The 13249-nt window shown below is 42.0% G+C and overlaps 1 long non-coding RNA gene across 1 annotated transcript, besides 1 other annotated feature; it reads right to left on the bottom strand.

Moving 5' to 3' along the window:
- LOC105370026 (uncharacterized) lies at positions 1587-12033 on the bottom strand. Its single transcript, XR_945438.3, has 3 exons — positions 11659-12033; positions 8977-9041; positions 1587-2004 (listed from the first exon to the last, which is right to left on the bottom strand). It is a non-coding gene; the product is annotated as an uncharacterized LOC105370026 (long non-coding RNA).
- Positions 3521-4022: an enhancer, noted in NCBI's record as "OCT4-NANOG hESC enhancer chr12:119656501-119657002 (GRCh37/hg19 assembly coordinates)". NCBI's record gives its function as "activates a minimal SCP1, AML or CMV promoter by ChIP-STARR-seq in primed H9 embryonic stem cells {active_cell/tissue: H9 hESC(primed)}" and the evidence as "EXISTENCE:reporter gene assay evidence [ECO:0000049][PMID:30033119]".

Here is a 13249-nt window from a genome sequence, read left to right as displayed (position 1 = left end):
ACACACATTTACCAAGTGGAAGAAGGAAGCATAATTGCCCACATATTTGTACTGAAATTCCTCCTTTTTTTATCTTAACTTTTTGAAGCTTCCCTAATGACATTTCATCAATTTTAATATGCACACTTTTTCTAATTTTCACATCCCTGAAATTGAGATGTATTTTACAATTTGCTATCAGCCAGCCAGCAGGCATGATATAGTTTCATTCCCTGCGCCTAAGCAAACTTGGTCCTAGCTGCTCACATTGTCATCACTTCAACTGAGTTATGCACATTACAAGTACTTCACATGTTGATTTTAATTGCCACTTAAAATGTCTTCAAAAAGATTACACTGATATGGTGTGGCACTGGAATGGAAAGCGTGTGTATATACAGAAAGGTCCCCAAACAGAGCAGTGGTGTGGAAACTTGATATTAGTGAATCACATTCTTGTGTTTGGGGGAATGACTCCAGTTTCATATTTTCCTGCAAAGCAACAATCAAATCTGTGCTGAACCCCTAAAAAGGAAGAAACCACAGTAGATGAAGCTATGGTACATTATGTCACTGAAATATGTGCGAAAGGGTTTCTTTTTATACACCAAGCCAGGCAACTAGAGGCAATCCCTTAGAATAGATGAACAGAATTTCAAAGGAGGAATGCTGTGATCAATCAATGTGTGGCATTGGACTATAAGGCGTTGGGTCATAGTTTAATTGAAAGAGCTTTTAATTTTCTTTCTTAATTTTACATAAAATAATAGTATATCTTAAAGTTGATGATGTTTTACATTTAGTGAGACAGTTGAACTCAAGTTAGTTAAATATATGTGATGCAACTCCAATTTAATGATCAATTAACTCTCATAGTATAATGTTGATGTGTCATTGATATGGTTTGGCTGTGTCCTCACCCAAATCTCATCTTGAATTGTAGCTCCCATAATCCCCACGTGTCGTGGGAGGGACCCAGTGGGAGGTAATTGAATCATGGGGGCAGGTTTTCGTGATAGTGAATAAGTCTCATGAGATCTGATGGTTTTATAAAGGGCAGTTCCCCTGCACATGCTCTCTTGCCTGCCACCATGTAAGACATGCCTTTGCTCCTCCTTTGTCTTCCACCATGATTGTGAGGCCTCCCCAGCCACATGGAACTGTGAGTCCATTAAACCTCCTTTCCTTTATAAATTACCCAGTCTCGGGTATGTCTTTATTAGCATCGCGATAACAGACTACTGCAGTTATTATGTTTTTAAAAACTTCTGACTTTTCAGAGATGTTTCCCAACAATGAAAAAGGAAAGGGTGAAAGGAAAACTCTCCAGTGTGATATATATATGTGTATATATATATTTTTTATGGGCATGCAAAAATACAGTACCAGCAAAACTATGTATATCTATTTATTTGGAAATACTACTTCTAGGAATTTATCTTAAGAAAGAAAGCATGAATGAGTACAGATATTTAGCTGCCAGGATGCTTATCTCAGCTTGGTTTATAAGAATGAAAACTTAGAAACAATCTAAAGGTGCATCAATAGGACTGTTCTTAAATAAATTATAAGACATCCATACAACAGAATTTAATAGTAGGCAGCCATTAAACATTAACTCAATCCATATTTATTAGCAAGGAAAGACACTCGTGATATGTACTAATAAAGAGGAGGAAATACACCAAGTTTGATACCATTTCTGTAAAATAATATTAAAAACAATACTCTCTATATGTTGGTGCATGTGAAAGTTGATGGGAAAAAAGCAATGAAAATGTAATAGTCATAGCCTTCTCTGAAAGGAGGGAATGTGAATGATTTTCATTTTCTTCTGGGTTTTCGGGTTTTCTGGTTTTCCTGTAACAAAATGTCTTATGTAGTTAAAAATAATAGAATTAAGGAATGGAAAAAAGGAATTGATATAGATCCTGTCAGAAAAAATGAGAAAAAGATGGCAGTATAGGCTTCCTCTGTGGTATTTCTTCAGATGTCCACAGCCTCCTACTCCAGTAACGATTTTGTCTGTGGAAAAAAAATAATAATCCTAATCACACTACTAATAAAAACCTTGTGCTGGCAAATATTTTTAGTACAATAAACTGAGACAGCAGTAAGCCTCTGGTGTCTGTGTTTGTGTGGGAAGTCGGGGAAGGTTTTGGCAAGTTTGTAAATATTAGCTGCTTGGGTGAATCGTTCTTTTGCCTTTACTGTCTCTCCCCTTTAGGAGTGAGGAGGCTTTTGTTTTCACCGCTAGCAGTTTCTCTCTCAGTGGGGTGTGGATAGTAGAATTCAGAGCAGGGAGGTGGGGGTAACTGGAAATGACCCTGACTGAGTGTTTGTGTCCCACCAAAATTCAACTGCTAATGTGGCTGTATTTGGAGATGGGACCTCTAAGGAAGTAATTAAGATTAGATGAAGTCATGAGCATGAGGCCCTGATCCAATGGGATTAGTAGGCTTATAAGAAGAGAATCTCTCTCTCTCTATCTCTCTCTCTCTCCCTCTGAGAGCAAGAAGGTGGCTGTCTGCAAGCCAGGAAGGGAGCCCTCACCAGAAGCTGAATTTACCAGTACCTCAATCTTGGACTTTCAGCTCCAGAAATGTGAGAAAATAAATTTCAGTTGTGTTTAAACCAAACCATTGGAGTATTTTGTTACGGCAGCCAGAGCTGACTAATACAGACTCCCTCCATAATGAGGGGCTCTGAGCTTCCCACCTGCTACACAACAATGAGAAGCCTCCCTTATGTGTTTTCTGACCTGAGGAAGGGAATCAGATGGACCTGGGTTGAAATCCTACCTCTGTTGCTGCCTGGCTGTGTGATCTTGGAAAGCCCCTTCACATCTCTGAGCCTCAGTTTTCTCATCTTTTCAGTAGTGGTAACAGTTGCCTATTTCCCTCCTCAGGACATGGTAAGAATTAAATGAAGTAATGCATCTGCACGCAACCTGACTGATCATTCCCCCGCTTAAAAATCTCTTTGGATGAGGCCACATTACAAAGATGAAAGAATGCCTGCAAAGGGCCTGGTGCACAGTGGGGGCTCACCATAGATCAGTTTTCTCATTTCTAAGGATTCATTTATTCATTTGTTGCGGGAAGTCAGGGACCCCGAACGGAGGGACTGGCTGAAGCCATGGCAGAAGAACATAAATTGTGAAGATTTCATGGACATTTATTAGTTCCCCAAATTAATACTTTTATAATTTCTTACACCTGTCTTTACTACAATCTCTGAACATAAATTATAAAGATTTAATGGACACTCATCACTTCCCCAATCAATACTCTTGTGATTTCCTATGCCTGTCTTTACTTTAATCTCTTAATCCCATCATCTTCACAAGCTGAGGATGACCCTGTGATAATTGCATTAACTGCACAAATTGTTTAAGCAATATGAAATCTGGGCACCTTGAAAAAAGAACAGGATAACAGCAATGTTCAGGCAACAAGGGAGATAACCTTAAAATCTGGCTGCCTGTGGGCCGGGCAGAACAGAGCCATATTTCTCTTCTTTCAAAAGCAAATAGGAGAAATATTGCTGAATTCTTTTTCTCAGCAAGGAACATGCCTGAGAAAGAGAACATGTCCGTAAGGGGAGGCCTCTGAAATGGCTGCTTTGGGGGCGGCTGTCTTTTACGGCTTAATAAGGGATGAAATAAGCCCCGGTCTCCCGTAGTGCTTCCAGGCTTATTAGAACAAGGAAATTCCCGCCTAATAAATTTTGGTCAGACCGGTTGTCTGCTCTCAAACCCTGTCTCTGGATAAGATGTTATCAATGACAATGCATGCCCGAAACTTCATTAGCAATTTTAATTTTGCCTGGGTCCTGTGGTCCTGTGATCTCACCCTGCCTCCAATTGCCTTGTGATATTTTATTACCTTGTGAAGCATGTGATCTCTGTGACCCACACCCTATTCATACACTCCCTCCCCTTTTGAAAATCACTAACAAAAACTTGCTGGTTTTGCTGCTTGGGGGGCATCACAGAACCTGCTGACATGTGATGTCTCCTCCGGACACCCAGCTTTAAAATTTCTGTCTTCTGTACTCTTTCCCTTTATTTCTCAGACCAGCTGACACTTAGGGAAAGTAGAAAAGAACCTACGTGAAATATCGGGGGTGAATTTCCCCCGATATTCATTCATTTATTCATTACTCATCAAATAATTGTCTTTTAGTGCCTCAATTTTCTCATCTGTCACATGGGGGCACTAAAATATATTTGATTGAACCACAGGAAATTGTTAATATTGGACTGTTTTAACCTACAGAAAATGGCAGTTTCATAGAGTGTGACCTAATACCACCTGGGTATTGTGATAATGATTAAAAGAGTTAAGCTTTATGAGTTCAGATCTATAAAATGTTTAGCACGTGGTGACAGTGCAAAAAAAAAAAAAAAACATGAACCCAAATGATGGCTTTAATAATGATGATGGCAATGATGCTGCTGCCGATGACGCTTATTGTATACAAGTTCTGAGCTATTCCCCACAAGTATGATGGGGACAGAGTGCCATTTTATTCTTCAAGAAACTTACAGTCTAAAGGGCCAGGTGTAGTGGATTGTGCCTGTTAATCCCAGCACTTTGGGAGGCCGAGGAGGGCAGACCACTTGAGGTTGGGAGTTCGAGACCAGCCTGGCCAACATGTGAAACCCTTTTTCTACAAAAAATACAAAAATTAGCCTGGCATTGTGGTGCACGCCTATAATTCCAGCTACTCAGGAGGCTGAGGCACAAGAATTGCTTGAACCCAGGAGGTGGAGATTGCAGTAAGCTGAGACTGTGCCACTGCACCCCAGCCTGGGCAACAGAGAGAGACTCTGTCTAAGAAAAAAAAAAAGAAAAGAAAAGAAAAGAAAGAAAGAAAAAAAGAAACTTACAGTCTGGTAAGGGAGGGAAGTAGGTGTGGATGATCCAGTGACAGGTGCATTGATGGTTATGCAGTCTGTCTTGGGAGCCCCGGGTATAAGAGGAGATAGCTAGAAGAAGCAGAGTGCTAAAGGTAGGAGCATTGGCCACCTGAAGAAAACTGAGGACAGGCCACAATGTTACAGGCAGAAAGAAGCACATGTATGAACAGCTGCAAGACAGAGCATCAGATGTCTCCTAGGTAACCCATGTCTGTTGTGGCTGTCTCTCTCTGAGGTGCTGTTCTCACCTGGCTCAAAGACAGAGGTCATCATTCCTGAATCACAGTCCAAGATGTTTGAACCCTCAACCCCTGTGTGCCCCTCTGAGCCCCACCTTGATTCCTTGCCCGAATCTCCCTCTCAGTTCCAAGCGCATTCCTGCAAATGTGATTGAGAATTCTTTGCTAACACTCCTTGCCTGTGGTGTCATCTTGTTCCTGCCACCCTACTTCTAAGCTCACACCAGCCTGTCTTCCTCTTGCCTCATAAGGACTATCATCGGGTTTGTGTGTCTATATCACTCAATGAACAAGTATGTTCATGTATTCCCTACCAGAAACTGTGTCTTTTCCTCCATTATACCCCCAGCAACTTGCAAAGTGCCTGGCACATAGGAACTACTCCTTAAATGTCTGTTGCAGTATGAATAAGTGAATGAAGATGAATGAGCAACATATATTGAGGGCCTGGCATGTAACAACCCCAGACTCTTGGACCTATTGAAATAATCTAATCTAGTAATTCTCAAACGTATTGATCTCTGGACACTTTAGACTCTTAAAAATTACTGAAGACCCCAAATAATGTGTTTGTATAGATATAGCTATCATTATTTACTACTTTAGAAATTAAAACTGACACATTTTTAAAATATTTATGTATAAATCCATTTAAAAACAATAGGCAACCCATGTGATGTTAACAAAAATATCATATTTTTATGAAAAATAACTATATTTTCCAAAAAACCGAGAAGAAGTACATTGTTTTATATTTTTGCAAATCTCTCAGATGTTCAACATTCAATGATGACTGGATTCTCATTGCTGCTCCTGCCTTCATTCTATTGTGATATCACTGGTCATGTTGACTAAGCGAAATTTTTCTCTCTACTCATGAGAGTATGAGAGTGAAAAAGGCAAATAACACCTTAGTAGTGTTACAAAAAATAGTTTTGATCTCGTGGACCCCCTGAAAGTGTAGTGGGAGCCCTCTGGAAGCCTCTAATCTCTCTTTGAGAAGGATGGATCTAGTCTGCCTTTACCATTTTAAATTTTACAGAGAAGGAAACCAAAGACTAGAGATATGAAGGGATTTCCCTAAAACTAGAAGCAAATTTCTCAGATTACAACAATAACGACAATGAGAGCTATCATGCATTGAGCTCTTACTATGTGCCAGGCACTGTGCTCAGCACTTTAAGGGCTGATCTCATGAAATCCTTGATGCAATTCTCTAGAGTTGGAACTATTTTCACCTTGGTTTACAGAAGAAACTAAAGCCCAGAGAGGTTATGTCAGTTACCTAAGATCACACAGCCAGTCAGCAGCAGAAATAGGATTCAAACTCAGAGTTACGTATTTGAGTTTTGGCTCTTAGTCCATGATCCACATTCCTGCAGCATAAATACATACTTGAGGGCTGGGTGCGGTGGCTCACGCCTGTAATCCCGGCACTTTGGGAGGCTGAGATGGGCGGATCATTTGAGGTCAGGAGTTCGAGACTAACTTGGTCAACATGGTGAAACCCCATCTCTACTAAAAACACAAAAAGTTAGCTGGGCATGGTGGCGGGCGCTTGTAATCCCAGCTACTCAGAAGGCTGAGTTAAGGAGAATGGCTTGAACCCGGGAGGCAGAGGTTGCAGTAAGCCGAGATAGCACCACTGCATTCCAGCCTGGGCAACAGAGTGACATTCCGTCTCAAAAAGAAAAAATGCATACTTGTATGTGGAAGCTAATAAAGAGGACAGGGTCCTCTTAAAATGTGGGTGGCCTTCAGTGCCCAGAGAGAGTAGGGGTGCTCCAGAGAGTTGGAGTAGAGCTGGAGGGTTAGGGCTTTGGCCGAAGTTGAGCACAAAGGAAGTTGGAGGTGAATCTTTGTGGACCTCCCCGCAGACCTCACAGGGGGCACTCTGTTTGTCTGCCCCAGCAGTTCACAGTCAATTTGGCCAATTTATCAAAAATCAACTCCATGATCAGTAGTTCCCTAAAATAATCAAGATGCTTGAAATCAATCGATCCAATCGGTCAAATTTGCCAGTTTTCCAAAACTGTATTTTAAGGAAAACTCTTATCAAATATAATTACTGAAGACGAACATCCTGCTCTTGAACATAGTCAATGACTACATTCTCATAATATGCTCTTTTAATCAGTTCAATGGTAATTCTCAGTGAATTTATGCTTCTTGAATACTCTTATCCAAAAATGTAGCCAGGATATTTTAATTATATTCAAGACTCTGTTTAAGATATTCAATAATCTATTCTTCATTAGCAGATAGTCATAAGAAAGCTAAACAGCCCCCATGATATTTAGTGTTAGACAAATTAAGCTTAAAATGCTGCTGAGAAGGATATGTTCTCTGAATATGTTCAAGACTAATATATTAAGCAGACCATATTAATATTCATTGGATATATTCAGGAAGGCTAGTCTTCAAGAACATTTTTGGCAAATTCAGAAATTGGTAGACTGGTGGTCTGTCTGGCTTTCGGCCAGTCTGAGGACAGGCATCCTGCAATCACCGTGGGAGTCATGAGATGACAACCCTATTCAAAGGCTATGAGTTGCATTAGAAGCCTCGGAGAGTAAGAAAGCACTGTTGTGTCCCCAAACACCATTTTGACCCTTTGGGCACCTTCATGAGAGGAAACAAAAAAGCAGAAGAGAAAAGAGAGAGAGGGGTTCATGTTGCCTGCCATTCACTGCCATGTCCCAAAGACACTGTGAGCATTATCTCCCTTAGTCAACCCGAGGAGTTGGTAATGAAAATTACCCCTTTACTAATGACGATGCTGAGGTTTGGATAGGTGAAGTGACTTGCCTAAGATCCTCTAGTTAGTTGAGGGCAGAGTGGGGATTTGCACTTAGGCAGGGTTGGAAATTGCACTCAGGCAGGGTAACGATTTGGACTCTGACAGAGTGGAGATGTGAACTCAGGCAGAGTGGAGATTTGCATTCAGGCAGAGTAAACATTTGAACTCAGGCAGAGTGGAGAGTTGAACTCAGGCAGAGTGGAGATTTGAACTCAGGCGAGTGGAGATTTCAACCCAGGCAGAGTGTAGATTTGAACTCAGGCTGAGTGGAGATTTGAACTCAGGCAGAGTGGAGATTTGTGCTAAGGCCGAGTGGAGATTTGGACTCAGATAGAGTGGGGATTTGCATTCAGGTAGAGTAAATATTTGAACTCAGGCAGAGTGGGGATTTGAACTCAGGCAGAGTGGGGATTTGCACTCAGGCAGAGTGGGGATTTGAACTCAGGCAGGGTAGAGATTTGCACTCAGGCAGAGTAGAGATTTGAACTCAGGCAGAGTAGAGATTTGAACTCTGGCAGAGTGGAGATTTGTGCTAAGGCCAAGTGGGGATTTGAACTCAGGTAGAGTGGGATTTGCTTTCAGATAGAGTAGATATTTGAACTCAGGCAGAGTGGGGATTTGAACTCAGGCAGAGTAGAGATTGGAACTCAGGTAGAGTAGAGATTTGAACTCTGGCAGAGTGGTGATTTGAACTCAGGTAGAGTGGGATTTACTTTCAGGTAGAGTAGATATTTGAACTCAGGGAGAGTGGAGATTTGAACTCAGGCAGAGTGAGGATTTGAACTCTGGCATATGAACTTCACCGAATCAATGAAAAAAGAAATGAAAGGTGAGGTGGTGCCCTGTTAGTGGGAACTGAATGGATGAGGGCTGGATGTGAAGGAGCCTGGGGAGTTCTAAGGGGCTTGACAGGATTTCCTTTTGGACATTAGAGGAACCAGGCGATGCAGTGGGAGGCAATTTTGAGTCAAAAGCACAGGCCCCTTTCTTTTTTCTGTGTAGAAACAAACACAATAGAAATCCTGATGACCTACCTGCCTGTTTACTTGTTCCCTCATCACGTGTTTGCTTAAGCTTAGATCCAGTTGTATTATGTTCCCTGAAACATAAAATAAATAAATAAAAATAAGCACGAAGAACTGTGGAAGAACAAGGCTGGCCACTGGTGTAGATGTTCGCACCGTTTCCCTGCAGCAGCTTTATACAGGTTCCAAGGTATTTATTTCATTCTTTCTTTTGAGAAAAAAAACAACCTTTTATTTTGTTGTTTATTATTCAATTAAGACACACCCCACATGTACCTTGCTGATAAATTAGAAAATTATAGATAAGCTAAACTAATAAAATAAAAATCACCAATACATCTGCTCTCCCTTACTCCAAAAAAAAAATCATTGTTAGTATTGGGTATATTTCTTTCCAGCACTTTAATTCTTATGCAATTTTTAAATGGTATCCTATTGTACCTGCTATTTTGTAAGCTGATCCTTTCAATGTATTGTGATGATATAAATAAAGACAATTTCACAACTTGGTTTTTACAACTGCAGATTTCTGATGGTTGGTTATTTATTTCTTGTTTTCAAAGAGGTGAGAGGTGGAGAAGTGTTTTGTGGCTGACTGGGCCATTGGCTATAGGGCCAGGGGTCTTTCCACAGGATGTGGGAGGGCTTGGAATAAGTTGGAAACTTCTGATGGAAAACATTTTGGGACTTCAAAATAACACCCCTCTATCGGCCAAGTGCCCTCCTTTGTCAAATGGGTCATTTTAAGAATTGAATGAAAGAAGTATGCTAAGGCCTAGACAGCATCTCCTTCTTCTCCTCCTTCACTCCATTTATCTAACACATGTCTCCATAGATACCAGGGGTGTTCTGCCAACCCCTCCCAAAGATAATAGATTTTTGATAGCTTTACTTCCCAAGACAATAATTTTTGGGCAGGGCACAGCAGAACTTGGTGGAACATTGTGACCAGGTTCCTCCGAATGGCAAGAACTTGGTTCCTAAGTTTCTGAGCTTCAACTTTCTTTATCTCCCCAAGAGCTGGGCTTTTCAGTTCCAGTTCCTTCTCTCCCACCTCCCACTGGTCTCCTTTCACTATCCTCTGTTGTCTCCTTTTGGGAGTCTAATCAGAGAGAGGAGGCTTGGAGTGGTGGTGGTTACTGCTGCTGGTGATAGTGGGAACTTAGGGAAGTTCTTGGAAGTTAAGCTCTGACCTGGAGCTGGACCACCTCTCTTAGATATCACTCAGTGTTTGGGAATCATTGTAAAGAATAGACAACCTCAAAGGAGTCATTTTCCTATGCAGCAGAGACTCAACATTTTAGCCAGTTAGGGAGATAATGTATATTTTTTAAAATCACAATGCCTGGCACATAGTAAGCACTCAATACACGCTACTTATGATGACGATGATGGTTATTATTATTTTAAAAGGCATAGAAAGCATCAGTCCCCTGAATCAGGGGGACTGTGGGAAGTTTAAGATGAACACAGTTCTGGAAGGAGATGCTCTTCCCACTCCCGCCACCCATGCCGCGGAACCAGCCTCGGGCGGAGTGCATGCTGAGGAGTATTTTCATAGCCCCTCACAGCCTGAAGACATCCAGCGTGTCGCCAAGCAGATAAATGCACTCATGATCTCCTGCTGAAATTGGCACGTCCAGTGTAGAGCTTCGATGATTTATTTACCAGTGACAGTTCTGCTCTGGGGTGGAAGTGCCCTGGTTTGCTGAGTGGTTCATTCATTTATCTTGGTTGACAACGCAGGCCCGTGGGATCCCCATCTCAGCTCCCACCCATGCCTTCTCCTTTTGCATCCTGCTGCTAGCACTGAGGGCACAGGCGTGAGGGTTGGTGTTGTGTTTACCTTCCCGCCTACAGAAGCACCATCTGGGGTCTGCTTTGGGTGGGGAGGTCCTTGGGTGTGGTCATGGAGGTGGGGGCCATACATAGCATTAGAGAAACCATATTCCTATGATCATCCCTTTTTAAGATGCCATCGGAGTCAGATTGCTATGGGCTCAGATGCTGTCTCTGCTATTTATTAGCTGTGTAGCCTCAAGTCAGTGGCCTGACCTCTCTGAGCCTCAGGTTCTCCATCACCTGTTACGAGGGAATAATAATAATACCTATTCCCTGCTTTCTTGTGAGGGGAGATATGGAAAGCACCTGGCACCTAGAAAAGTGAGCCTGACATATGTACGAAGCTCTTAATAAAAGGTGGTTATTGTTCATAGCTTCATTCTTATTATTCTCCTGGGTCCAGCACTGTTCCCTGGTGAAGAAGGAGTTTGCTCTCAGGCTTATGAAATAACAGAGCTGGACTCAACTTACAGAAAAAGCCCTAGGCCAGGCACGGTGGCTCACGCCTGTAATCCCAGCACTTTGGGAGGCCGAGGCAGACGGGTCACGAGGTCAGGAGATCGAGATCATCCTGGCTAACCCGGTGAAAACCCTTCTCTACTTACTAAAAATACAAAAAATTAGCCGGGCGTGGTGGCGGGCACCTGTAGTCCCAGCTACTCAGGAGGCTGAGGCAGGAGAATGGCGTGAACCCGGGAGGCGGAGCTTGCAGTGAGCTGAGATCTTGCGACTGGACTCCAGCCTGGGTGACAGAGCGAGACTGCATCTCAAAAAAAAAAAAAAAGAAAGAAAAGAAAACAAAGAAAAAGCCCGGAAGCTGTGTTGAAGCTCAGACTCCCCCACACTTACACACTGTGATGTCAGGACAAGTTAATTCACCTTTCTGAGCCTCAGTCTCCTCATCTGTAAAATGGCAATAATGAAATGAGATACATTATGGAAAGTATCTGACATCAAGAGTACTCAGTGAAGATCAGTTTTCCGCCACCCTCTCTTACTTGCATAATACCTTATGATGTATGAAGGGTGGTAACAATCGTTATCTAACATGATTCCCACCCTAACACCCACTGCTCCAGGGACAGATTGTAATCCCTAATTCACAGATACAGGGGCCCAGAGAAGTGCAGCAACTCGTCCCAACTTATATTTATTAACTCAACAAATATTTCTACCGAGTGCCTCCTGGATATTAGCCATTGTCTTCAGTGCTTCAGACACATTGATGAATGGAACAGGTGAAAAATCCCTGCCCTTGTAGAACTTACATTCTAGAAGTGGAGGGAGATAATAAACAATGGAAGTCATGAATAGATAAATTACAGAATATGTCAGAAAGTGGCAAGTGGTGTGGAAAAAAAAACAGATCTGATAAGGGAGATCGGGAATGATAAACAAAGGGGAACAGCTACAGTTTCAAATGGGGTGTTCAGGCTGAGCCTCACTGAGATTATATTTGAGCAAATATTTGATGGAAATGAGGGGCTCAGCCATGCAGATGTCTTGAGGAAGAGCACATGCAGGATGTTCAAAGGCCCTGGGGTGGTGGTGTGCCAGGGGCATTCATGGAGCAGCAAGGAGTGGAGTGGGGATGGGGAGAGGGGAAAGTGATGAGGCTGAAGGGGCACAAAGGGAACAGGGTGTACATGCAAGTTTGTGTGCATGTGTGCGTGCGTGCATGTGTGTGTGTGCCTGTGTATGTGTAGGCATGTCTGTGTGTATGTGTGTAGGGAGAATCCTTTAGGGCTTTGTAGTCATGATAAGGACTATGGATTTTGCTGAATAGAGGAGCCTTAAGAGGCTTTGATCTGAGTCATATTTGAACTGAGTAATATTTTACCGAGGTCAATCCAGCTTTAGTGTTCAAACTGACTGCAGGGTATACATCAACAGATACGTGTATGCACAGCATGTCATATCCATACAATGTCATATCCATACAATGTGGAATATTACTCAGTCATAAAAAGAAATGATGTTTCAATATATGCTATAACATGGAAGAACCTTGAAAACATTAAGCTAAGTGAAAGAAGCCTGACACAAAAGAACAAATATGGTATGATTTTACTGATATGAAATGTCTAGAGCAGGCAAATTTAGAGACAGAAAGTAGATTAGAAGTTCCCAGGGGCTGGGTGCAGAGAGAAATGAGGAAGTTGTTGCTTAATGCTTACAGAGATTTTTTTTTTGGACGATGAAAAGTTTGGAACATAGTGGTGGTGGTTGCACAGCATTTTGAATGTACTTAATGCCACGGAGTTGTTCGTTTGTGAAAATTATTTAAATGGTATATTGCATGTTACATATTTTACTACAATAAAAATTTTAAAAAAAATTGACCAGGCATGGTGGCTCATGCCTGTAATCCCAGCACTGTGGGAAGCCGAGGAGGGCAGATCACTTGAGGCCGGGAGTTCAAGACCAGCTTGACCAACAT

Source organism: Homo sapiens, chromosome 12, assembly GCF_000001405.40.
Source record: "Homo sapiens chromosome 12, GRCh38.p14 Primary Assembly".
In the NCBI taxonomy this organism is placed as follows: domain Eukaryota; kingdom Metazoa; phylum Chordata; class Mammalia; order Primates; family Hominidae; genus Homo; species Homo sapiens.
The sequence above is the reverse complement of the archived record's forward strand: the minus strand, read 5'-3'. Positions and strand labels throughout refer to the sequence as shown.